This window comes from Homo sapiens, chromosome 1 (assembly GCF_000001405.40).
Source record: "Homo sapiens chromosome 1, GRCh38.p14 Primary Assembly".
NCBI lineage: Eukaryota > Metazoa > Chordata > Mammalia > Primates > Hominidae > Homo > Homo sapiens.
Genome location: NC_000001.11, coordinates 53224664 through 53249004, shown reverse-complemented (window position 1 = coordinate 53249004; position 24341 = coordinate 53224664). Strand labels below are relative to the sequence as shown.

The 24341-nt window shown below is 41.8% G+C and overlaps 2 protein-coding genes and 1 long non-coding RNA gene across 6 annotated transcripts in view, besides 3 other annotated features; 2 read left to right on the top strand and 1 right to left on the bottom strand.

Moving 5' to 3' along the window:
• LRP8 (LDL receptor related protein 8) overlaps window positions 1–6641 on the top strand; it is an 85707-nt gene extending 79066 nt beyond the window's left edge. For all 4 annotated transcript variants that reach the window (NM_033300.4, NM_017522.5, NM_001018054.3 and 1 more), the window contains one exon: window positions 1949–6641. In NM_033300.4, the coding sequence (NP_150643.2) occupies window positions 1949–1987 (39 nt within the window). In that variant the 3' untranslated portion in view covers window positions 1988–6641. The remainder of the gene's footprint in view (window positions 1–1948) is intronic.
• On the bottom strand, window positions 6222–10395 carry MAGOH-DT (MAGOH divergent transcript). The gene is made up of 3 exons (NR_038953.1): window positions 9660–10395; window positions 7060–7158; window positions 6222–6567 (listed from the first exon to the last, which is right to left on the bottom strand). It is a non-coding gene; the product is annotated as an MAGOH divergent transcript (long non-coding RNA).
• Window positions 10193–10834: an enhancer, noted in NCBI's record as "H3K27ac hESC enhancer chr1:53703843-53704484 (GRCh37/hg19 assembly coordinates)". NCBI's record gives its function as "activates a minimal SCP1, AML or CMV promoter by ChIP-STARR-seq in naive H9 embryonic stem cells {active_cell/tissue: H9 hESC(naive)}" and the evidence as "EXISTENCE:reporter gene assay evidence [ECO:0000049][PMID:30033119]".
• Window positions 10476–10605: an enhancer, noted in NCBI's record as "active region_1043". NCBI's record gives its function as "activates an Ori minimal core promoter by ATAC-STARR-seq in GM12878 lymphoblastoid cells {active_cell/tissue: GM12878}" and the evidence as "EXISTENCE:reporter gene assay evidence [ECO:0000049][PMID:35858748]".
• On the top strand, window positions 10487–22105 carry MAGOH (mago homolog, exon junction complex subunit). The gene is made up of 5 exons (NM_002370.4): window positions 10487–10644; window positions 13370–13428; window positions 15353–15463; window positions 20051–20133; window positions 21861–22105. The coding sequence occupies exons 1-5, from the start codon at window positions 10557–10559 to the stop codon at window positions 21958–21960; spliced, it is 441 nt and encodes a 146-aa protein (NP_002361.1). The 5' UTR covers window positions 10487–10556; the 3' UTR covers window positions 21961–22105.
• Window positions 10646–10705: an enhancer, noted in NCBI's record as "active region_1042". NCBI's record gives its function as "activates an Ori minimal core promoter by ATAC-STARR-seq in GM12878 lymphoblastoid cells {active_cell/tissue: GM12878}" and the evidence as "EXISTENCE:reporter gene assay evidence [ECO:0000049][PMID:35858748]".
• Window positions 22106–24341: the final 2236 nt, after the last annotated feature.

The following is a 24341-nucleotide window of genomic DNA, read 5'->3' as shown; positions in this document are numbered from 1 at the left end:
CTTGGAATAAGAAAACTCCCAGTTCCATCCTTCCACTGCCCTGTGATCTCAGTCACTTCTTTCTGCTCACTGTTATTTGTAAAATGAGAATAACAACCCCCATTCTACCTGCCTCCTGAGTTTATAAAGTACAAGTGAGATAGCACGTGTGAGAGCACTTTGTGACTTACAAAGCACTCTGCACATGTAAAGTGACATTATTTCCAGAGAAAGAAATGACTCAGGGGGAGTTACTCCCGATGAGTGTTAAGGACCAAGTAATAAGCTTCTGCCAGTTGCAGAGAAATAAGGAAATCAACATTTAGTGAGCACCTACTGTGTGTCAGACACTGTTCCCAGTGTTTTACATATATTTTCTCATTTAATCTTCATAATAACCTTATCAAGCTGATATTATTCGCCCCATTTTGCAGATGAGGAAACTGAGACTCATAGAAATTGAATAACTTGCCTAAGGTCATAGCCAGGAAGTGGCAGAACCAGAATTCAAACTCCAGTCTGTATATACACAAAAGCCCATGCTCTTTCCTTTATATCGTGAGGTAAATAGCCTTGAAGCTCTGGAAATCAATATTCTCAACAACCTGTCTCTCCTCTGTCCATTTCTCGGATAACTGTACCATCACTACTGGGGCCTATCTTTGGCCTAGAGATCTGTCTTAGAGAGAGTGGGAGGGTAGCTAGACTAGAATAAGATAGTCTTAAATATCTACACTGGTGGAGGATGGCCATTGCATTCATAAAAAAACTACAGATAACCCAAAGATGACTTGAAAGGCAGTAGAGTTACTTTTTATCATATGTAGAATGTCCAGAGATGGGAGATACTAGTCTGATTCTATTTTATGTTGGTTACGTTGACCTAGGATATTCTGGGCCCTATGTGTTGTTAGGTACTATGTTAAACACTCTCTGTGCATTATCTCATTTGATTCCTCAACAACCCTGTGAGGTAGGTCCTGTTACTATTCCCATTTGATAGATGATAAAACTAAGTCTCAGAGAAGTAAAGTGGCTGGCCCAAATTCACATAACTATGAGGAAAAGTACTGAAGCTGGGGAGGGTCTTTCCAAAGGAGGGTATCTGGGAAATGGAAAAGAGGCAAACAAGATTACATCAGGACTAGCTGGGGAAAGTTAGATGTGTACCCTGGAGAAGAAAACACTCAGAATGAACGGAAGGGAATTCAAACACCATCTATAAATTTCAAGGGTTGTCCTATGTAGAACTGTCTCTGAGTCTGAGATGGAATCAGGGAATGTCAGAAGATATAAACAAACAAATTTCACATTAATATAGGAAAGAATTTAAATCTGTTGTCCACAATGGAATAGACTGGTTCAGGGGTTAGTGGGCTCACCTTCCCATGGTCAGCCATTTTTGGCAGACAGGAGTCTAGCATCTACCTAATGACTGGAAAGCAGGGGTGAGGGAGAGAGGGATGGAATTTAATTAACCTGCATTGCCTCCCAACTGTGTTTAATCTGTTGGGAAGGTGCAGTATATTACCTTTCTAAATGTGATTAGCATGCTAGAGACAAGTAACCCCATAGCCTGAAATTTAACATTTGCCAAAGCTAACCCACTGAAATTGACCAAACCTAAAATCCTATAAGGGAGGATTAAGAAAATTTAGATCTGTGCAACTCTTCTTTACAAAGATACAAAACAGAATGATGAAAAAATCTACAGCTTTGGATTCATACAGACCTGGGATCAAATTTTAGTTCAGCCACTTGCTATGTGATCCAGAACAAACCCTACTTAAGCTCATTGAGTTTTGTTTCTCATCTGTAAAATAAATAGGATAAATCCTGTCTCTTAGGATAGTTTGAACATTATGTGAGCTAATACCTGTTAAAGTAACGTAAGTCTGTGATTTGTCAATACTAAATAAATAGTAACTCTTATGGATCTAATGATGAATTCTTTGGTTTGTCTCCCCAGCGAGTGGCATTAAGCCTTGAAGATGATGGACTACCCTGAGGATGGGATCACCCCCTTCGTGCCTCATGGAATTCAGTCCCATGCACTACACTCTGGATGGTGTATGACTGGATGAATGGGTTTCTATATATGGGTCTGTGTGAGTGTATGTGTGTGTGTGATTTTTTTTTTAAATTTATGTTGCGGAAAGGTAACCACAAAGTTATGATGAACTGCAAACATCCAAAGGATGTGAGAGTTTTTCTATGTATAATGTTTTATACACTTTTTAACTGGTTGCACTACCCATGAGGAATTCGTGGAATGGCTACTGCTGACTAACATGATGCACATAACCAAATGGGGGCCAATGGCACAGTACCTTACTCATCATTTAAAAACTATATTTACAGAAGATGTTTGGTTGCTGGGGGGGCTTTTTTAGGTTTTGGGGCATTTGTTTTTTGTAAATAAGATGATTATGCTTTGTGGCTATCCATCAACATAAGTAAAAAAAAAAAAAAAACACTTCAACTCCCTCCCCCATTTAGATTATTTATTAACATATTTTAAAAATCAGATGAGTTCTATAAATAATTTAGAGAAGTGAGAGTATTTATTTTTGGCATGTTTGGCCCACCACACAGACTCTGTGTGTGTATGTGTGTGTTTATATGTGTATGTGTGTGACAGAAAAATCTGTAGAGAAGAGGCACATCTATGGCTACTGTTCAAATACATAAAGATAAATTTATTTTCACACAGTCCACAAGGGGTATATCTTGTAGTTTTCAGAAAAGCCTTTGGAAATCTGGATCAGAAAATAGATACCATGGTTTGTGCAATTATGTAGTAAAAAAGGCAAATCTTTTCACCTCTGGCTATTCCTGAGACCCCAGGAAGTCAGGAAAAGCCTTTCAGCTCACCCATGGCTGCTGTGACTCCTACCAGGGCTTTCTTGGCTTTGGCGAAGGTCAGTGTACAGACATTCCATGGTACCAGAGTGCTCAGAAACTCAAGATAGGATATGCCTCACCCTCAGCTACTCCTTGTTTTAAAGTTCAGCTCTTTGAGTAACTTCTTCAATTTCTTTCAGGACACTTGGGTTGAATTCAGTAAGTTTCCTCTGAAGCACCCTGAAGGGTGCCATCCTTACAGAGCTAAGTGGAGACGTTTCCAGATCAGCCCAAGTTTACTATAGAGACTGGCCCAGGCACTGAATGTCTAGGACATGCTGTGGATGAAGATAAAGATGGTGGAATAGGTTTTATCACATCTCTTATTTCTCTTTTCCCCTTACTCTCTACCATTTCCTTTATGTGGGGAAACATTTTAAGGTAATAAATAGGTTACTTACCATCATATGTTCATATAGATGAAACTAATTTTTGGCTTAAGTCAGAACAACTGGCCAAAATTGAAGTCATATTTGAGGGGGGAAATGGCATACGCAATATTATATTATATTGGATATTTATGTTCACACAGGAATTTGGTTTACTGCTTTGTAAATAAAAGGAAAAACTCCGGGTATATGTATAGATGTTCTTCATTATAGACATCTTCTTTGCTTTTCTTGGCCTTGGGGGAGGAAGGGAGAAGTGCTCTTTTCTACTTGTGGGGTCTCCCATTGGAAACATAATCCTATAGTCCCAGAAGGATTCAGTCCCCAGTGGCTTTCCCATCCAAAGAGAAAGAGTTTGAGTTTCTTAACTCTGCTGTTCTGCCACTTACTCCCACTAGACAACCAGGGACAAGGTGCAACATGGAAGTGTTTGACTTAAGTAGGAGCAGAGGAGCTGCATCTAATCTCATCATACCTGGAACTTGACACACTTAAGCAAATGCCTTCCCATCCCTACCTGCCAGATGCCCCCAACTCAATGAAGTTGGATGTCTCACCAGCTTGATACCCTTTGAATTTTCAGTCAGACATTCTGGAGTTCTAGCATCCTGTACCTAGGACCTTCCTCTGTGTCACTCTTGGCCTCCTAAACTCTAAGAAAATAACTATATTCTGGAGCTTGGGCAGTGTGTTTTGCATAATCCAGCAATCTCCTCATGACATGCATGTGTTGATAGTCCTGAAACATTCATTGAGAGGGTAAATGCAGTTGACCTAGAATGACCAATACCAAACAGAATTTTAAGAACAGGTGGCCAACTCCTATGGAGCTTACTCACATATTACTATTCTTTTAAGAACGGAAAGTAAAATTATTTTTGACTGAAGAAAAATGATGACAGTGAAAAACATGGAAATGTACTCAAAACAAGTGACTTTTTCTGTAACCTTCCAAAGAAACTGAATTTTCCAAGGAATTAAATGATAACAGTGGCTAAGGCATAGTTTCTAAACTTTCAGTAAGATCCTGGCATTCACAGAAAAAAATGATGAATGGGGTCTGGACATACAGCCTGAGATCTCAAAATGACAATGAAATTCACAACTTTTTCTCAGAGACATTCATGTTTCCTGCATATGCTACAACTGCAGTTTGAAAGAGGCAGCAATGGGAGCAACCCTTTACAAGAAACAAATTGTGATATATTCATGTGTTGGACGGCAGTAAATAAGATGAAACCTGAGGAGTCAGATCCACCTTCCCCCATTCATAGAGGCTTTTCAGCCTCATTTTGAGGTACAGTTACATATCTTTTGCCTTTTGCCCCCGTGCATAGCTATCTACAGCCAATCACAGATCACAGAGTCACTGGACTATAGAGCTGGAAGGAAGCTCAGAGACAATGCCAAGGGGGCAGAAAATTTATCAGAAGCCAGTCCCAGTGCGTTTCCTCCATTTCCTTCTGCAGGAAGACTATTTTGGGCTGCCTGAACATTGTATCAAACCTGCTACCTATACTATGGTCTACCTTTCCTCCAGTGGAATTACAAAGGCACTAACTGAAATGCCTTCTAGAAACAGAGAAAACGAAACTGTACTTATTTACTCTTGATACACAGATTATTTATAAAACAGATTGAAGTAACCTGTTAACTGGCAAAAAGAGAATGAGATCGGATTTAAATGTATGGCAGTAAGTCCTATTGATCCCTCCAGTTATCTCAGTATGACTGCAGTATATTCATTCACTAAAACCACTCACTAGATACCAACTACACACCTGGCACTGCAGATGTAAAGGTCAGTCACACATGTTCTGACTTTACAGAGTTCACAGTAGCAGTGGAGGATGATATATGTGGAAACAAAAAAGGCATTGATTCTATTCAGAGCACTGTTAGGGCTCAAAGGAGAGAGGGGTCTTTCCACCTAAGAAATGAGGAATAGGGTCATCATAGAAGTGACCTTAAGTCTTAAAAATTAAGAAGGGGATTCCAAGCTGCTTCAGACAGAGACACATCGAGCTAAAACACAGAGGTATGAAAGAGCACAGGGACTTTAGGAATTGCACAGTTCATTCTAACAGGAACAAAAGGCTCAAGGGGGGCAAGAAATGAGGCTGTATGGAAAGAGATTCAATGTAAGCACTTTATAAAATAGATTAATTTCTGATTCAATGAAGCATTTCTTGATCATTGTGTACAAGGCACTACATGCATCATGGAAAATTCATTAGGATGCATTGCCAGCACTTTGCAGAACTGATATTATTCAGCCTCAAGCTTTCCAGTGGCCAAAGGGAAATGCTGACTGCTTTTCATATATTTGAGTCAAAGATTTTTTATATGGTCAATGAAGACTAATATAAGGGCAGTGGGATTTTCACAGATGCATGCCATGTTGTCGAGAGCCTCTTAGATTTTCTCAACTGTGAGAAAGAAAAACGAAAATGTTGAAGACGTTGAGTCTGGAGAGGGGATACTAATCACTGTCCAGTTGGGCACTGGTGGGAATGGGGAAATGGCACAGGAATGCAAGCCTCTCCACCCTACCCCCCGAACTCCAGCCATACACTCATCGTTTCACAAAATATAAATGAGTTAGCATTAAATGTTTCAGAGTAAATAATTCCTTTTCCCGAAATGCATGAAGATAGAGTAACAGACTTCTCACACTGTATTTTTAGGGTATGGAGAATTTAGAAGGTTAAAGAATTACTGCTTCAATTTTTCAGTTAAAAAAAAATCAGGAAGCTCTGTTCATTCAGGCTATGCACCATGTGCACAGTCAAGAATTAGCAGAAACCCTCTGCATTTACAAACACTTTGTGCTATAAAAAAGTAATTTTTAAAAAGCCACGTGTGTGTGTGTGTATATATATATATATATATATATTTAAAGCCAAGGTTTTGATACTTTTTTACAAAAACTACAAGAGAAAACAAATATACCTGTCCAAACCATATACTTTTAAAAGAGCATTTTTTTTTCCATACAAGCTGTTGTTAATTTGGGGGTAAAGTGCTGATTTGCAAACTTCATCAAATTGTTCCCAAGTGGATTCTCCTTGTTTGTCTCCCCCTACCAACCCCAAAGTTACCATATTTGATGTAAGAATCAGGCATGTTAGAATGTTGTGTCACACTAACTGATTCTGCTCTTTTTGTCTTGTCATTCAAGTTCCGTTAGCTTCTGTACGCGGTGCCCTTTGCAGTCTGGTGTCTCTTCCAGAGGCGAGGGGGCTGAGGATGGGGTGCTGCATCTCACTAGCTATACTGGCATCATCTTGGTAAACTGAAAACCAAATGTGGACATTTGTAAAATCAGTGCACTGTTTCTAGAGAGAGATTAAATTCATTTAAAAAAAATCTTTTAAGTTTTGTTTCATTGTAATACTTTAATGAGGGGGAGTGAACTATTACTGAGTCCCTAATGTGTACCAGTATTCTATATAAATTATCCCAATCTTTGTCAACAATTCGGTGAGATAAATACTATCAATACTATCCACTCCCATTTTATAGATGAGAAAATGGGCAAAGTAACTGCCCAAAGTCACAAGGTTATTTTTAGTGCCCCCAAAGAGCAATTGTACATGTAGCATTCTCTGCCTAAATTTTCCTTCTCTGCCTCCACATGACTAACTCCTATTTGTCCTTGAGTACTCCACTTAGGTAATGCCTCCTCCAGGAAGCCTTCCCTTTTCTCTAAGACTAGGTTAGATAACTCACCTCTGTACTTCGATAACAATTTTTGCCTACTTGCATCCCAATACTTCTGCCTTACCATTCATTCCCATGCCATTGGGGTTGCTTTTGCCAAGGTCATCCAGGACCTCCTCGATTATAAATCTGGTAAACATTTTCAGTCTTGCTCTTCCTTGACCTGGAAGCAGTAGTTAACACTGTTAGCCACTCTTTTCTTGGCATATTCTTATTTTGGCTTCCATGATAACATTTCATGTTTTTTCTCCTATCTCTCTGGCCACATCTTAGTATCCTTTGCCTACCCCTTAAATTATGGTATTCCATCTCAAATCCATCCACTTTTCTATCTCCATTACTTTTTTTTTTTTTTTTTTTTAAGAGACAGGGTCGTACTCTGTTACCCAGGCTGGAGTACAGTGGTAGGATCATAGCTCATTGCAACCTCCGCCTCCTGGGCTCAAGCAATTCTCCTGTCTCAGCCTCCCGAGTAGCTGGGGCTACAGGTGCACGCCACCCTGCCCAGCTAATAGATTACTTAAACTACTTATCTGAATGTCATACTTCTAGTCTTTTCATTTTCCAATCTAACCTACAAGACTGCAGCCAAAGTGTCTTTCTAAAGTACCATAGATGTATCACCACCACTTCTTTCCACTTTCCTGCTTAAAGCTCTTCAACTGCTTTGCTGGCACAAAAATCCAATATTCTTGGGTTTGCCCAAACTCTTTTAATATGGCTTATAAAACCCTTCATGATTTGGCTTCTGCCCTGTCTCCAGCTTCATCACTCACTACTCTATATTCTAATCACACAGTTCTGGGCCTCCGTCTGGAACATTTCCTTCAGGAACATTTCCCTAAGGACCCTGCACTGGATTAGGAGTCACCTCATGTGCTTCCATAGTCCTCTGTGCTTCCTTTATTGGTAATCTTATCCTTACATTGTAATTGCTTGTATGCTCCTTAACTGCCTCCTCTGCAAGCTCTGTGAACAACTGTCTTGCTCAACATTGTATCCTCTCTGCACATGACACTCAGTGGATGCTCAAATAAATGATGCTGAATGCAGGCACTGCAGACACACAGACCATGCTCTTTCAGTTACACCATGTCTCATATCCAGAAACCTGGATTACTTCACAGCCTGACTGGAGTTGTGTGTCCTTTAAATTTCTCAACACTTTTGTTATTTGCCACATCTGAAGATCCCCAGATTCACTTATGATTTTTATAATTTTACTCCTGGAAAATAACCTTGTAGCAATTGCTTAATCCCTCTACATACTTAACTCTAATTACCACCTCAAGATTGTTGTGATGATTCAAAGAACAAGCACAGGTAATCCCATTGACCCTAGGGGCTGACATTTATTAGGTGCTTGATACCTGGTCCCTTTTCTTTTTTTCTCTTTTTTTTTTTTTTTGAGACAGGGTCTTGCTTTGTCACCCAGGCTGGAGTGTAATGGTGTGATCATGGTTCCCTACAGCCTCGACCTCCCAGGCTCAAATTATCCTCCTACCTCAGCCTCCCAAGTAGCTAGGACTACAGGTGTGCACCACCACACCTACCTATTTTTTAAATTTTTTGTAGAGACAGTCTCCTATGTTGCCCAGGCTGGTCTCAAACTCCTGGGCTCAAGTGATCCTCCTGCCTCAGCCTCCCAAAGTGCTGGGACTACAGGTATGAGCCACTGTGTCTAGCCCCCTTCTCGTTTATACAATTCCCTTGTTACCACCCATATCCAGTGTTTTGTAATAAAAATGTCTTATGGTTTTACAGCAATTTAGTTTCCGAGACATTGTTTCTTACAACAGTTCTGCTAGGTGTACATTATTATGCTCATTTTAAAGAGAAGGAAACTGAAGTCTAAAAAGTTGAGTCGGTTCACCTTTGGTTACAATGAGTCATTGTTACACAGGGATTATTTTAACCTGTGTCCAGTGATTTTTCCCCCACCACACCTACTCTACACTCTGCTGCTAATGCTTTTGCAGGGAGAAAAGGACTCCGTGTTAAGACTGAGGGCCGGGCGCGGTGGCTCATGCCTGTAATCCCAGCACTTTGGGAGGCCGAGGCAGACGGATCGCCTGAGGTCGGGAGTTCGAGACCAGCCTGGCCAACATGGTGAAACCCCGTCTCTACTAAAAACAGAAAATTACAAAAATTAGCTGGACATGGTGGCGCATGCCTGTAATCCCAGCTACTTGGGAGGCTAAGGCAGGAGAATCACTTGAACCCAGGAGTTTGAGACCAGCGTGGGCAACATAGGGAGACTTTGCCTCTACAAAAAGTTTAAAAATTAGGTAGGCGAGGTTGCGGTGAACTGAGATCACTCCATTGCACTCCAGCCTGGGCAACAAGAGCGAAACTCCGTCTCAAAAAGAAAAGACTGGGAATAGGAATCAGAGACTGCTGTCCCAACTTACAGAATCGTATACAGTTCTAGCCGCCAGGACCCAAGAATGATGTCATCTCGGCACTGTCTCTAGAACCATTCATTCTTTCTAAGCCTGGAACTTAGATGAGTGAAAGCAGGTTCCTATTACATAATTATGATCTTGATTGCCCTGGGCCTACTCAACTGTAAATTTTTTCCAGAGCCAGAAAGGCTTCACAGAGGACAACTTTACCCTGAAAAGAAAGGACCTCTTTGGTCAGTGGTCCTCAACTCTGACTCACCTGAAAGCTTTACAAAAAGTACCAATGCCCAGGTCCAGCGCTGGAGATTTTAACTGGCTTGGGGTAGAGCCCTGGCATCAGTATTTTTAGAGGCTTCCCAAGTGATTGCAATGTGCAGCCAGGCAGAGAATTACTGCTCGGTAAGTGGGATGACTGGGGAGTGGGAGATCAAATACTCTAACGTCTCCCAGCACCTATTCTAGAGATCAGTGGGGCAGAAAGGTAGAAATAAAAGGTGGAAAGGGATGAAATGGGTAAGTGTGGGTGAATTAGTTCCAGGAAAACGGCAATCTCCACTGTGGATTCAGGGAAGGCGTCACTGAGGAGGGCTTTCTTAACAGTTCAGGTCAGTGGAAGCCAACTTGAGGCACACATCGTGCGCGGCATCCTCCGGGGAGGTCGGGTCATTTCACCCCATTTTACTGCCGAGATGACCTAGGTCCAGAGACGGTAAAGAGCGGTGTACGACTCACACAAGTCGGGGGTCCTGTGAACCGAGGTTGAGCCTGGCGGGCCTTCGGCCCGAGGTCTTTAAGCGAAGTCACCAGACCCGGGGTTCAAAGCCCAGAGGTAGGCAGGCGGCTGGCTCTCCGCCTCAGGCCTGGAGAGAACCCAGGGGTATGAACCTCAACCTCGCTCCCGCGTCCAGCTGGAGGGGCGGAGCTGGCTGGCCCCGCCTCCGGGTTAAACAAAGTTCTTTACAGACTAGGCGTGAGGGGATGTTGCAGTCTTGTTGCCACTTCCGGGCGAAGAGGTTAGCGAGAAGGAACCCCTCCACGCAGCGACGACGGGACCTGACGTCACTTCCGCGCGCCGCCGCAAACGTCAGTGTCGGGCGCAGACGGCGGCAGTGCGGCTTGCTCTTGGAAGTTCAGGCTCGGTTGTCTTTTGGGAGCCATGGAGAGTGACTTTTATCTGCGTTACTACGTGGGGCACAAGGGCAAGTTCGGCCACGAGTTCCTGGAGTTTGAGTTTCGACCGGACGGTAAAAGCAGCCTGCCGCCCGCCGGGAGCGGGGACCAGGCCTGGGGGCCGGCGAGTGGGGAGGCCGAGGGTCGGAAATCTGTGGGGAACTAGAGGAGGGAGGGACTGAGACCTGTGCAGTGCAGATCTTAAAGGAACGCCACTGTGTCTGCTCCACGGGGTCTTTCTATCCATTCAGCAAACGTTGACTGAACGCCCACTGTGTGCCAGGCTCTGTTCCACTCTTTGGGAATACGGCAGCGAAGGTAGACAAACTTCCCCTCTCGTGGAACTTGTGTTTTACTGCCGGGAGAGAGATCATAAACAAAAAGATGATTCCAGATAGCAGTGAGTGGTCAAAAAATAACATGGTAGAATAATTGCTGGATGGGCTGCTTTTAGATAGGTTGGCCATTAGAGAGCTCTCTGTAAAGGGTATATTGCAGCCGAGTCCTAATTAACAAGAAGGGCTCAGCCTTGTGAAGCTCATAAGGAAGACCATTCTACACAAAGGGAATACCAGATGTCAAGGCTGCAGGGCGGGAATGAGCTAGGCGTGTCTCAGGTGGTCAGTGTGGTTGAAGAGTGGTGAGCTGGGAGATAGCAGGAGATGATGTCGGATAGGTAGGTAGGAGCGGCACCTCTTAGGTCTTTATAGACCACGGTAAAAAGTTTGGACTTGGAAGGCCTTTTTTTTTTTTTTTTTTTTGAGACGGCTTTCGCTCTTTTTGCCCAGGCTGGAGTGCAATGGCGCGATCTCGGCTTATTGCAACCTCCGCCTCCCGGGTTCAAGTGATTCTCCTGCCTCAGCCTCCCGAGTAGCTGGAATTATAGGCGCCCACCACCACGCCCGGCTAATTTTGTATTTTTAGTAGAGACGGAGTTTCACCATGTTGGCCAGGCTGGTCTCGAACTCCTGACCTCAGGTGATACGCCCGCCTCGGCGTCCCAAAGTGCTGGGATTACAGGTGTGAGCCACCGCGCCCGGCCGGGCTTGGAAGGTTTTAAGCAGAGAAGAAATGTGATCTCTTCTTGAAAAAGCATTCTGGTTATTGGGTGCGGAATGGGCAAGAGTGGAAACAGGGCTATTGATTAGGAGACTGTTGCAGTTGTCAAGACACGAAAGATGTTGGGGGCCGGGCGCGGTGGCTCAAGCCTGTAATCTCAGCCCTTTGGGAGGCCGAGGTATGCGGATCACTTGAGGTCAGGAGTTCAAGACCAGCCTGGCCAACATGGTGAAACCCCGCCTCTACTAAAAATACAAAAATTAGCCGGGTGTGGTGGCAGACGCCTGTAATCCCAGCTGCTCGGGAGGCTGAGACAGGAGAATCTCTTGAACCTGGGGCGGAGGTTGCAGCAAGCTGAGATAGTGCCACTGTACCCCAGCCTGGGTGACAGAGCAAGACTCTGTCTCAAAAAAAAAAAAAAAAAAAGATACTGGTTGGGACTACAGAGATAGTAGAAATGGAGAGAAAGATTTAGGAAACTGTTGGAGGCAGAACCAACTGGACTTTGATCGTTGATAGGATTTTGTTGGCAGAGGCACTGTGGTGAAGGAAAGAGCAATCAAAGATGACAGAAGACATCCACTAAGTGGGGCACAAAGATGAATCTGACAGGCCTCGACTGTGAGGGAGATAGATTTGTAAGCAGTGATAAAACAGCACATTAGGTGTTGTGGTAAAAAGAAACAGAGGAGGCTCGCAGCAGAGAAGGGTGCACCTAACCAAGCCTGAGGGTCAGAGGAGGCTTCCTACATAAAATGATGGGAGGAGGGGATGTGAGGAATTGGTTAGGAGACGAAGAAGAGTCAAGAAGGCATTTTAGACAGCATGCAAAGAAGCTGAAAACCAAAAAGTGCTTGGGATGTTTCAGGCAGAAACCAAGTAGTTTGACTTCAGCTGTGTGAGAGAAGAATATTGGCAGGAATGAGGCTGGAAAAGCAGGCAGGGGCTTAGCTTAGCTGTATGCCATGTTGAGGAGTTTGGATTTTACCAGGAAGGCAGTGGAAAGCCATTGACTTTATCAAAGTATTAGAGTAACCTAATCTGATAGATCTGTTACCACATCACCTTGTCCACTGTATGGACAGTGAACTGAATGTGAAGAAACTTGAGGCAGAGAGACAGCACAGAGGCTGTTGGAATAAATTCACTGGGCTCATCTCACATGTATGTCTTCTAGTCTACATGTCTTCTATTTCCTTCTGTCTTCTCCTCATCCCCACCATTAATCTGTCAGATGCACACATGGGCAAAGGGTCTTGTGTACCAAATGTGCTCAGTGATAAAAGCAGCAGCTTCTCCATCACAGAAATAGAGTATGGCACAGTCACATGATAATATATGTAAACTGCATCCTACAGTTTTCAAAATGTTTTCACAGCTCATTTGAGCCTCAGGAGGTCCTATGTGTCGGTAAGTTATCAGTTACTAGGCCTGTTTTCAGGACATTCACCTGCAAAAATGTGATTTGACAAAGTCAGAAAAGAGCCTGCCTGTGTTTATACCCCACCTGAGCTGCTTTTTGCAGTAGTTGAGTTTCAGCTGTATATTTGGCTGTTTAAGCCTGAAGTGAAGAACTGAAAAGACTAGTATTGTTGAAATACCTTAAGAGTAAATAATAAATCTGTTAGACACTTTTAGCAAGTTAGATACATTTTGGGCAACTGCTGATGCCTTGGCATGGTATTGATGCTTTATTCATATGTTTTTATTATACGTTGAAATTGTTTTTTGCCCCCACAGGGAAGTTAAGATATGCCAACAACAGCAATTACAAGAATGATGTCATGATCAGAAAAGAGGTATGAGCCTTCTGCCTTCTGAGAGTCCTTCATTTGCTACATTTCAGCTTTTTGTCTTGCATTGTTTTTATTGTTTCTAGTAGTATTGAAAGATAAAGAACAGGGAGAGAGACACATGTCTGTAGACAGCTTCTGGATTATTTCCCAAATCATCTTTTAGTTGGGATTTTTTTATTTTACATTGTGGAATCAATTACTGGTAACCTTTGACATACCTTGGTTTGAACCCTGAGTCTGCTGCTTACTACCCCATGTGACCTTGGGCAAGTTCCTGGCTGAACTTGATAAATCTCTGTTTCTTCACCTGTAAAAACAGGAATAATAAAAGCTACCTCCCACTCCCAAGTGCTGTCATAAAATTAAATATGTTCTATTTAAAGTGCTCTATATTCCCTGTGTACATGGTACACAATGAAGAGCTATTTAATTTACATCTGAGTGGGAAAGGGAGCATGGGAAAGCAGTTGACATCATTGAATGCATGTTAGATGTCAGGCGTGGCATCTTATTTAACCCTGATTGTAAGCCCATGTGATGGGGGAGGGTATTATAGCCCCCTTACAAATAAGAAAATAAAGGCCCAGGTATTAATTATGAGGCTTGTTCTGAGTTACCCCTGCTAGTAAGAGATACAGCAGGAATTCCCAATCCTGCCCCAGTAAAGTTTGTATTCTCCGTTCTGTGATTTCTACTACATCATTAAGGCTTCATCAAAGCTACTCTTTCCTTTTAACCACTTTGCCACCTTTGAAAATGTCTTAGCATATATTTTCATATTGTTATTTTAGCTATTGATTTTATGCTTATTCACACATGTCAATATCCTCACTATTTTTTTACACAGGCATATCTTTTAAAATACATTTTGCTCCTCAGGAGTGTATTACCTAGTTAAGAATAACTGGCCGGGCGCGGTGACTCACACCTGTAATCCCAGCACTTTGGGAGGCCGAGGCGGGCGGATCACGAGGTCAGGAGATCGAGACCATCCTGGCTAATACGGTGAAGCCCTGTCTGTACTGAAAATACAAAAAAATTAGCCAGGCATGGTGGCGGGTGCCTGTAGTCCCAGCTACTTAGGAGGCTGAGGCAGGAGAATGGCATGAACCCAGGAGGCAGAGTTCGCAATGAGCCGAGATCGCACCACTGCACTCCAGCCTGGGCGACAGAGCAAGGCTCCGTTTCAAAAAAAAAAAAAAAAAAGAATAACCAGGGCATGTGGGTGTCGCAGTCTCTTTTTTGCTGCAACAAAATGCCTGAGACTGGGTAATTTGTAAGCAGTAAAAATATATTTCTCACAATTTTGGAGGCTGGAAAGTCCAAGATCAAGGCGCTGGCAAGTTCAGTGTCTAGTGAGGGCCCAGTCTCTGCTTCCACAACTGTGCCTTGTTTTTGCATCCTCCAGAAGGAATGAATGCTGTGTCCTCATATGGTGAAAGAACAAGAAAGGGGCCAGCTAGTTCCCTTAAGCTCTCTCCTAAAGCACTAATCTATCCCTGGGGCCTCTGCCCTCAAGGCCTGATCACCTCCTAAAGGCCCTATCTCTTAACACTGTTGCTTTGGGGATTAATTTCAGTATGATTTTTTTGGAGGAGACAAAAACATTCAAACCATGGCAGGGGGCACTCACAGACCTGTTTTGGGTTTCGTTGTGAGTTGGGTATGTGGGCAGGCAGAAGGGCCATGTGAACAGGATGTACCAGGAGGTAGTAACAGCTAGATAGGGGACTGAGGTGCAGTTACTGGATACTTCTGACCGTGTCCCTCACCTGCATCATGCCGAGGTTGAGCATGAATGTCTTCCCACTTAAGGAGATGCCAGAAATAAGTCTGCAGGAACAGTTATTTTTATCTTCCATCACTATCTGAGTCAAAGCACTGCTTAAGGATACAACATACATTTTGTTTTTTAACTTGCGTTCAGGCTTATGTACATAAAAGCGTGATGGAGGAACTGAAGAGAATAATTGACGACAGTGAAATTACCAAAGAGGATGATGCATTGTGGCCTCCTCCTGACCGAGTGGGCCGGCAGGTGTGTTTTATTGATTATCCTGTAGTGCAGAAATCTTACAAATAAGACCCCCCACACTCCCTCCTCCACTTAAAGCTTTTGTTGCCTATCTCACTTACTAACTACTATGGACAAAGCATTGTGGAGATACAAAGAGAAATAGAACATAATTATTTCAACAATCTAATGAAAGGAAAATCATACAAATAATTCAGTGTATGTATTTAAATTCATGTATATTTATATACATTAATGTATATATTCATTCTGAGCACCATTTTGGTAACTAAAAAATAAAAGCCACTGTCATATTGAACTGAATTAACAGAAAAGGTATTTTCACTCTTGACTGCTACCATCCTAATCCAGACTTCTAATAGATTTCCTTGTTTTTCCTCTTGTTCCATACCATCCATTTTTCCATCCTGAAAGCCAGTGTGATTTATTTATTATTTTTTTTTTGAGTTGGAGTCTCGCTCTGTCGCCCAGGCTGGAGTGCAGTGGCATAATCTCAGCTCACTGTAACCTCTGCCTCCTGGGTTCAAGCGATTCTCCTGCCTCAGCCTCCCGAATAGCTGGGATTACAGGCGTCCTCCACCATGCCCAGCTAATTTTTGTATTTGTAGTAGAGATGGCGTTTCACCATGTTGGCCAGGCTAGTCTCAAACTCCTGACCTCAGGTGATCCGCCTGCCTTACCCTCCCAAAGTGCTGTGGTTACAGGCGTAAGCCGCCGCATCCTACTGGTCTGATCTTTAAAAACGTAAATTTGCTTATGTATTCCACTGATTTAAACTCCAATGGCTTCCCACTGTACTTAAAATTCAAACTCCCACCTTATCTTTTACCGGGCTTCCAATCTGTCATGGTGTTCAAACCTTACTAGCTTCATTTCTGTTCCTCAGACATACCTAGGTGGTTCTTACTTCAGGGCCTTTGCACTTGCCACATTCCGCCTAAAATATTCTTCCTTTAACTTTATACAAGACTGTCTCTATTATTGAGGTCTTCAAAAGTCACTTCCTCAGTGATGTCTTGCCTGTCCATCCAATCTAAGAAGTCGCTTCCCATCATTAAGAAAAAGATCTGTTGTGTTGTCTTTTTGTGTTTTTTTTTCTTTTTGCTTTCAGTTTTATCACAATATGTGTTGTCTTTGTAGCACTTGCTATTGTCTAAAATTGTCTTACTTGCTTTTCAGTGTTTTCCACTGCTGTATCTCTAGTGACTAAAATAGTACCCATGTATAGTAAAAGCTCAATAATAATGTATTTGTTAAATTAATATGAAAACCCATATAAACTCATTCCTAATAATCTCAAAATGATGGACCAACCCTTGAAGAGTTTTTTTTAAAAATCCACCCTCAGTACTTACTAAAGTTAACTTTAATTTATGTTCAAGGGAGCTCAGTAATATCATATATATGTATTTTGCTTTACCACTTATAAAATTTTTATTTCTATTAACTCGTTCTACCATCACAACAATTCTGTAAAGAGGGAAGGGCATATTCCTTTGTACCAGCAATAAGCCATTGGATACTGTAATTAAAATCAATTCCATTAATAATTGCAAGAAGAGTTATAAAGAACTTGGGAATGCATTTAACAAGATGTACAAAACTTGAAAGGGCTTTATAGAAGGACAAAAATATGTATCGTTTTTGTGGATGGCAAGATTCAGTATCATAAAGATGTCAGTTTTCAACAAAGTAATTTATAAATTCACTCTTAATTCAAATAAAAATCGCAGTAGGATTTTTTTCCCTTTAGAATCAAATAGAATGAGCATTAAATTCATGGAAAATCAGAGGCAAGAGTAGCCAAAATAATACTGGAAATTTCTTACAAAGCTGTGGTCATTTGTAGTATGATATTGCCTCGGGAATTGACAGCTAAACCAATGGAACAGAATAGAGAGCCCAGAAACCAACCTATGAATATATGGAAACTTAGAAAAGTGTGCTACAGAGGTGGACTTTCACATTAATGGGAAAAGAACGAATTATTTAACAAATTGTACCAGGACAGCTGACAATGTATTTATGGAATATTTTTAAAATTAGGCCATAGAAATCAAAAATTTTAAACAGAATATAGACTTGTATTATTTCTGGGTAGAGAAGGAGTTTTTAAAACTCCTTAAGGGGTAAGATTGGTAAATTTGACTTCTTTACAACTTAGGTTTGACAAAAGATGGCAAGATAAAGTTGAAAGATAAGCCATAGACTGGAAGAAGTTATCTGCAAAACATAAAACTGGCAAGAGTTCTCCATCCAGAATATATAAAGAATTACAAATTAATAAAAAGACTGTCCCGTGGCAGAATGTGCAAAGGTTATGAATAGATAACTTACAAGATCAAACAAGTGGCTAATATGAAAAGATTTACGGCTTCATTTGTAAAATGAAAGGACAACAGTGAGATACCATTTCAGACCCATTAGAATAAAAACAGAAAAAAATCTGCCGAATTTAAAAAATGATATGAGAAAAGAGTGAGAATAAAATTAGTATAACCGCGTTAGGGAGTAATTTTGTGGCATCTGGCAGCATTTAAAATACTAGGAATTATATGGAGACATATTCACATGTACAAGGAGATGTATAGAAGAATATTCTTGCTACATTGTTTATAGGAATAAAAATTTAAAACTTAAGTTTATTTCAGTAGGGAAATGGAATACCACAAGCATTTAAAACTAATGAGCTAGATCTGTGTAACTCAACATTGATAAATCTCGAAAACAATGTGGAATGAAAAATGTAAAAAGTATGTATAATAAGACCATTTTGTAAAAATTTTAAAGCACACTACCACGTCTAGGCCAGGTGCAGTGACTCATGCCTGCATTCCCAGCACTTTTGTTCTTAATTGGGAGGCCAAGGTGGGAGGATGACTTGAGGCCAGGAGCTCAAGACCAGCCTGAGCACAGTGAGACCTTTTTTTCTACAAAGAAAAAAAAAAAAACCCTAAAAATTAACTGGGCGTGGTGGCGCATACCTGTAGTCCTAGCTATTCGAGAAGCTAAAGGTGCAGTATAGCATGAGCCCAGGAGCTCAGGGTTACAGTGAGCTATGATCCTACTACTATACTTCAGCTTCAGTGACAGAGTGAGATCCTGTATCTAAAAAGAAATAAGTAAAAACATACTACCAAATCTGAAACAAGAGTGGAACAAATCGGGATACAGGAGGGAGAACAGAATGGGAGATGGACATAAACTTTGTAATATTTTACTTCTTTTTTAAAAAAAATCTGACACAAGTATGGCAATAATTTATAAATCTGAGTATTGGAAACATCTCAGTTTTTTCGATTTTCTGATTGAATTATAACAAAAAGGATATATGAATCAAAAAGAAGAAAAAGTAAATAGGCCTCACAAGAATATGAATTCCACAGGGCAGAGATCTTTGGTTTGCTTGGTTTTACTTATCTGTCCAAAGCACTGAGAACAATAGCCAGCACCCAGTAGGCTACACATAGATACTTTTTGAAGGTTATGGTACTCATGTCACTGTTTGGAAATTGAGATCCAACATCATACATGTAGGGAGTGACAAAGTGGGGATCAAACCTAAGGTCTGGAAGTTGCCTAGATAGATTAGATTCTTTGGTTTTTGTTTTTGTTTGTTGTTGTTGGAGACAGGGTCTCACTCTGTTGCCCAAGCTGGAGTACAGTGATGAGATCATGGCTCACTGCAGCCTTGACCTCCTGGGGTGAAGGAATCCTCCCACCTCAGCCTCTCTAGTAGCTGGGACCACGGATGCACACCACCACACCCAGCTAGTTTTCGTATTTTTTGTACAGATGAGGTTTAGCCAAGTTGCCCAGACAGGTCTTAAACTCCTGGGCTCAAGTGATTCTCCTGCATTGGCCTCCCAAACTGCTGGGATTACAGGTATGAGTCACCACACCCAGTCCAATTGTTTGGTATTTTTAAAACATAGGTGTATTCATGTTACTCCACATTGTTGACAATGAAAACTCATACAAAATACTACATAGGCTGGGCGCAGTGGCTTATACCTATAATCCCAGCACTTGAGAGGCTGAGGCAGGCGGATCACCTGAGGTCAGGAGTTCGAGACCAGCCTGGCCAACATGGCGAAACCCTGTCTCTATTAAAAATACAAAAAAATCCATCCTGGCTAACACGGTGAAACCCCGTCTCTACTAAAAATACAAAAAAAATTAGCCGGGCGTGGTGGCGGGCACCTGTAGTCCCAGCCACTCAGGAAGCTGAGGCAGGAGAATCGCTTGAACCTGGGAGGCGGAGGTTGCAGTGAGCCGAGATCATGCCAGTGCACTCCAGCCTGGGCAACAGAGTGAGACTCTGTCTCAGGAAAAAAAAAAAAAAAACCTACATAGATTTTTCCAAATCTGAGAAATGGTAGGGCCTTAAGGGTACAACTTCTTCTAAATATGAGCTGTATTTATCTCTTGTTTCTAGTGCCCAGCACAGTTTAGTGCTCAGAGTGAACTGCCCTTGTTTTTGTGGCCATCTGTAGTCAAGTTTGTGTGATTTGGCAAATGATTAATCCTTCTGTGTGCTTGATGAATAATCCAATTCTACTTGACTTCGATTTTCTAAAATGTTTCTAGGAGCTTGAAATCGTCATTGGAGATGAACACATTTCTTTTACAACATCAAAAATTGGTTCCCTTATTGATGTCAATCAATCCAAGTAAGTGTGCATGATCCTTATATCCAGTTGTGTCTGTTTTGGAGCAGATTGATAAGAAACCTTAACCAAATTGGGACCATTATGGGAAGAGCTGGGGCAAATGCAAAATGCAGGTGGGCAGCTTTGTCCTTCTTGTTAGGGAGGAACCCCAAATTATTTTTGAGGACTTGCTCCTATTACTTTTGGTGTTTCATTCAGCCATTGCTACTGCGAGCTTCTTGTTGACACACACATATAGATTAATGCATAGGAGCAGCCAGAAGAAAAAATGGAATATGCCAAAAAAGTGCTCATGATAAACTGTAGAGTCACCGAGTCTGAATAGCTTTCTCAGTGTGACTGTTGAGACTGGCACATCTTAAAATCTGACTTCAGTGAAACTTGACATTTTTTAGGATCTAAGTTTTATTTTATTATAAATTTATTATTATTATTATTTTGAGATGGAGTCTCCCACTGTCACCCGGACTGGAGTGCAGTGGCGCAATCTCAGCTCACTGCAACCTCTGCCTCCTGAGTTCAAGTGATTCTCCTGCCTCAGCCTCCTGAGTAGCTGGGACTACAGGCACCTGCCACCACACCCGGCTAATTTTTTTGTATTTTTAGTAGAGACAGGGTTTCACCATGTTGGCCAGGCTGGTCTTGAACTCCTGACCTCATGATCCGCCTGCCTCGGCCTCCCAAAGTGCTGGAATTACAGGCGTGAGCCACCGCGCCCAGCCTTAAATTTATTGTTTTTTACAAAAGCATTGGTTTGGTGAAAAGGGATCAAGATTTTAAAATTCATGTTGTCAGTGGGGCAGATTATCAAGTTGAGGCATGAACCTATGTGCTACAAAGAATCCTTAGAATTTGGCAACTTCTTTGGCTCTTACGTTTTGAGGGTTCAGGATTAGGTACGGCTCACTTTTGGCAAATGTTGGGCGTAATTGTCTTCCTTTGGACACTCTTCTTAGCCAGTGATGCCACAGTAATCTTCAACCTCTTGGTCCTGCTTAGTACTACTACTTTTTAAAAAAGTTTTCCTAACTCGGGCCGGGTGTGGTGGCTCACACCTGTAATCCCAGCACTTTGGGAGGCCGAGGCAGGCGGATCACCTGAGGTCGGGAGTTCAAGACCAGCCTAACCAACATGGAGAAACCCCATCTCTACTAAAAATACAAAAAATTAGCCAGGCGTGGTGCATGCCTGTAATCCTAGCTACTCGGGAGGCTGAGGCAGGAGAATCTCTTGAACCTGGGAGGCGGAGGTTACAGTGAGCCAAGATCATGCCATTGCACTCCAGCCTGGGCAACAAGAGCAAAACTCTGTCTCAAAAAACAAAACAAAACAAAACAAAAAAAGTTTTCTAACTCTGAAAGTAATACATGCTCATTGTAGAAAATACAGGAAATGTAGAAAAGTAGAAAGGGGAAAATCATCCACAAGTTTATCAATCAGACAACCATTATTACTATCTTGCAGTATTTCTTTTTAGTCTTTAATGCATTTATTCTATGCATTAATACAATATATACTTTTTAAGAAGCATAAAAAATACAGTTGAGATTAATAATTGTTATTTTAATTATATTTTTTCACTTAATGTAAGCATTTCCCTATATTAAAAACTCAGCATATTTAAATTACCTCATAATATACCGTTTTAATATATAGTCTTTTCCTTTTTAGGGACACTTGATGGGTCAAAGTTTTAATGCCTAAACTTTTTTCCTTTTGTATTTTAGGGATCCAGAAGGCTTACGAGTATTTTATTATCTTGTCCAGGACCTGAAGTGTTTGGTCTTCAGTCTTATTGGATTACACTTCAAGATTAAACCAATCTAGACTGAATATTGGTGTGGACATGGGGGGTGGGTGGGAGTAGAAAATTTTGTGTATATCAGGGCAGTATTTTTTTATGAACTATAAATGATTGTCTTTAATAAATATGTGATAAAATCCAATTTTTATTATTTTATAAAGACCTGAACATGTGAACTCTTCTCAATTACTTTGTAGAACACTAACATTCTATGTGAAGTATTGCCCAAAAATCAAATCTAATCAACTCTCTAGATATACCTATGATTTTATAGGAAATAAGAGAATACAGAAACATGTTTTAAAAATACAGTGGGACTTCAATCAGCCATATTGAGAGGAAATTCCAAGGCAAATGACCTGGTTTCTTCAATAAATTACAAGGGAAACAGATAGAATGGGAGCTTATAAAGGAGACTTAAGAGACACATAACACAATGTTTGGACCCTATTTGGATAATGATTCAAAAAAATGTAAAATTGGGCCAGATGTGGTGGCTCACACCTGTAATCCCAACACTTTGGGAGACCGAGGCAGGCGGGTCACCAAGACCTGCCTGGCTAACATGGTGAAAACCTGTCTACTAGAAATACAAAAATTAGCTGGGCGTGGTGGCATAAGCCTGTAATCCCAGCTACTCAGGAAGCTGAGGCAGGAAAATCGCTTGGACCCTGGAGCAGAGGCTGCAGCGAGCAGAGTTTGTACCACTGCACTTCAGCCTGGGCAACAGCGAGACCCCATGTCAAAAAAAAAAAAAAAGTAAAATTAATACCATTAAGGAAATTTAACACTGGTTTGATGGTTTAGGTATGAAATAGTATGGTGGTTGGAGTTTTTAAAATCACCTTTTATAGATACAAATATTTTAGGTTTTAGTAGGTATTTCAGTGTAGGGGAAAATACTTTGGTTTCTTACATGATAACAGGATAAAATGTTTGGTCTCAGAAAAGTTTTCCATTAATCCATTTTAAAATCAGAATACCAACAGCCATTCAGGACCAAGACCAAGTTGTATAGTGTGGGAATTTGTTCAGCAGGTAGACCTGTAGACAACTTTTTCTTTCTGCTAAATTGCATGGCTTCTTTAAGCACAGTACTGGTTGAACAGATTGCACCTGCTGAAAGGAACCAGGCCTTACTAAGCCTCATTTGAAGGGAAGTGATTAGCCTAAACTCACCCTACTAAAAACAGGCCAGCTTGGGACAAGGTCCCAAGTGTCCTGACTCCTGGACCCATTCTTTTTCCACCACACTCTACTCCTTCAAAGACTATGGGGCAAGTTAAGAACAGCACTGAGATGTCAGGGTTCCTGACTCCAGTGCACCTCCCCCTATAAGAGTACTTGGGGCAATGAAGCAAGTTGGTAGTAAAGTAGACATCAAAAAAAGTCACTCTAAACTTTAAAGAAGTGACGGGACCTCAGGTGATAAAAGAGTCTTTTGTTTTCTGAGGCAAAAAAAACTTTAGTAAAGTATTCTTGGCCGGGTGCAATGGCTCACCCTGTAATCCCAGTACTTTGGGAGTCTGAGGTGGGTGGATCACCTGAGGTCAGGAGTTCGAGACCATCCTGGCCAACCTGGTGAAACCTCATCTGTACTAAAAATAAAAAATTAGTCGACTGTGGTGGCGCACGCCTGTAATCCCAACTACTCGAGAGGCGGAGGCAGGAGAATCGCTCGAACCCAGGAGTTGGAGGTTGCCGTGAGCCGAGATTTCGCCACTGCACTCAAGCCTGGGCGACAAAAGCAAAACTCCATCTCAAAAAATAAAAAATAAAAAGAGACCGGGCATGGTGGCTCACGCCTGTAATCCCAGCACTTTGGGAGGCCGAGGCAGGCGGATCACCTGAGGTCAGGAGTTTGAGACCAGCCTGACCAACATGGAGAAACCCCATCTCTACTAAAAATACAAAATTAGCCTGGCATGGTGGTGCATGCCTGTAATCTCAGCTACTCGAGAGGCTGAGACAGGAGAATCACTTGAATCTGGGAGGCAGAGGTTGCGGTGAGCCGAGATCATGCCATTGCACTCCAGCCTGGGCAACAAGAATGAAACTCCATCTCAAAAAAAAAAAAAAAAAACAAAAGAAAAAAACAGGGTTTGGCTGGTCTCAAACTCCTGTGCTGAAGCCGTCGTCCTACCTCAGCCTCCCAAAGTGCTAGAATTACAGGTGTGAGCCACTGTGCCCAGCCTATCTGTCTGTCTGTCTGTCTGTCTGTCTGTCTATCTATCTATATATATATATATATTTTTTTTTTTTTTTTTTTTTGAGACAGGGTCTTGCCCTGTCACCCAGGCTGGAGTTTAGTGGTGTGATCTTGGCTGATTGCAACCTCCGCCTCCCAGGCTCAAGCGATCCTCCCATCTCAGGCTCCCGAAAAGCTGGGACCATAGGCATATGC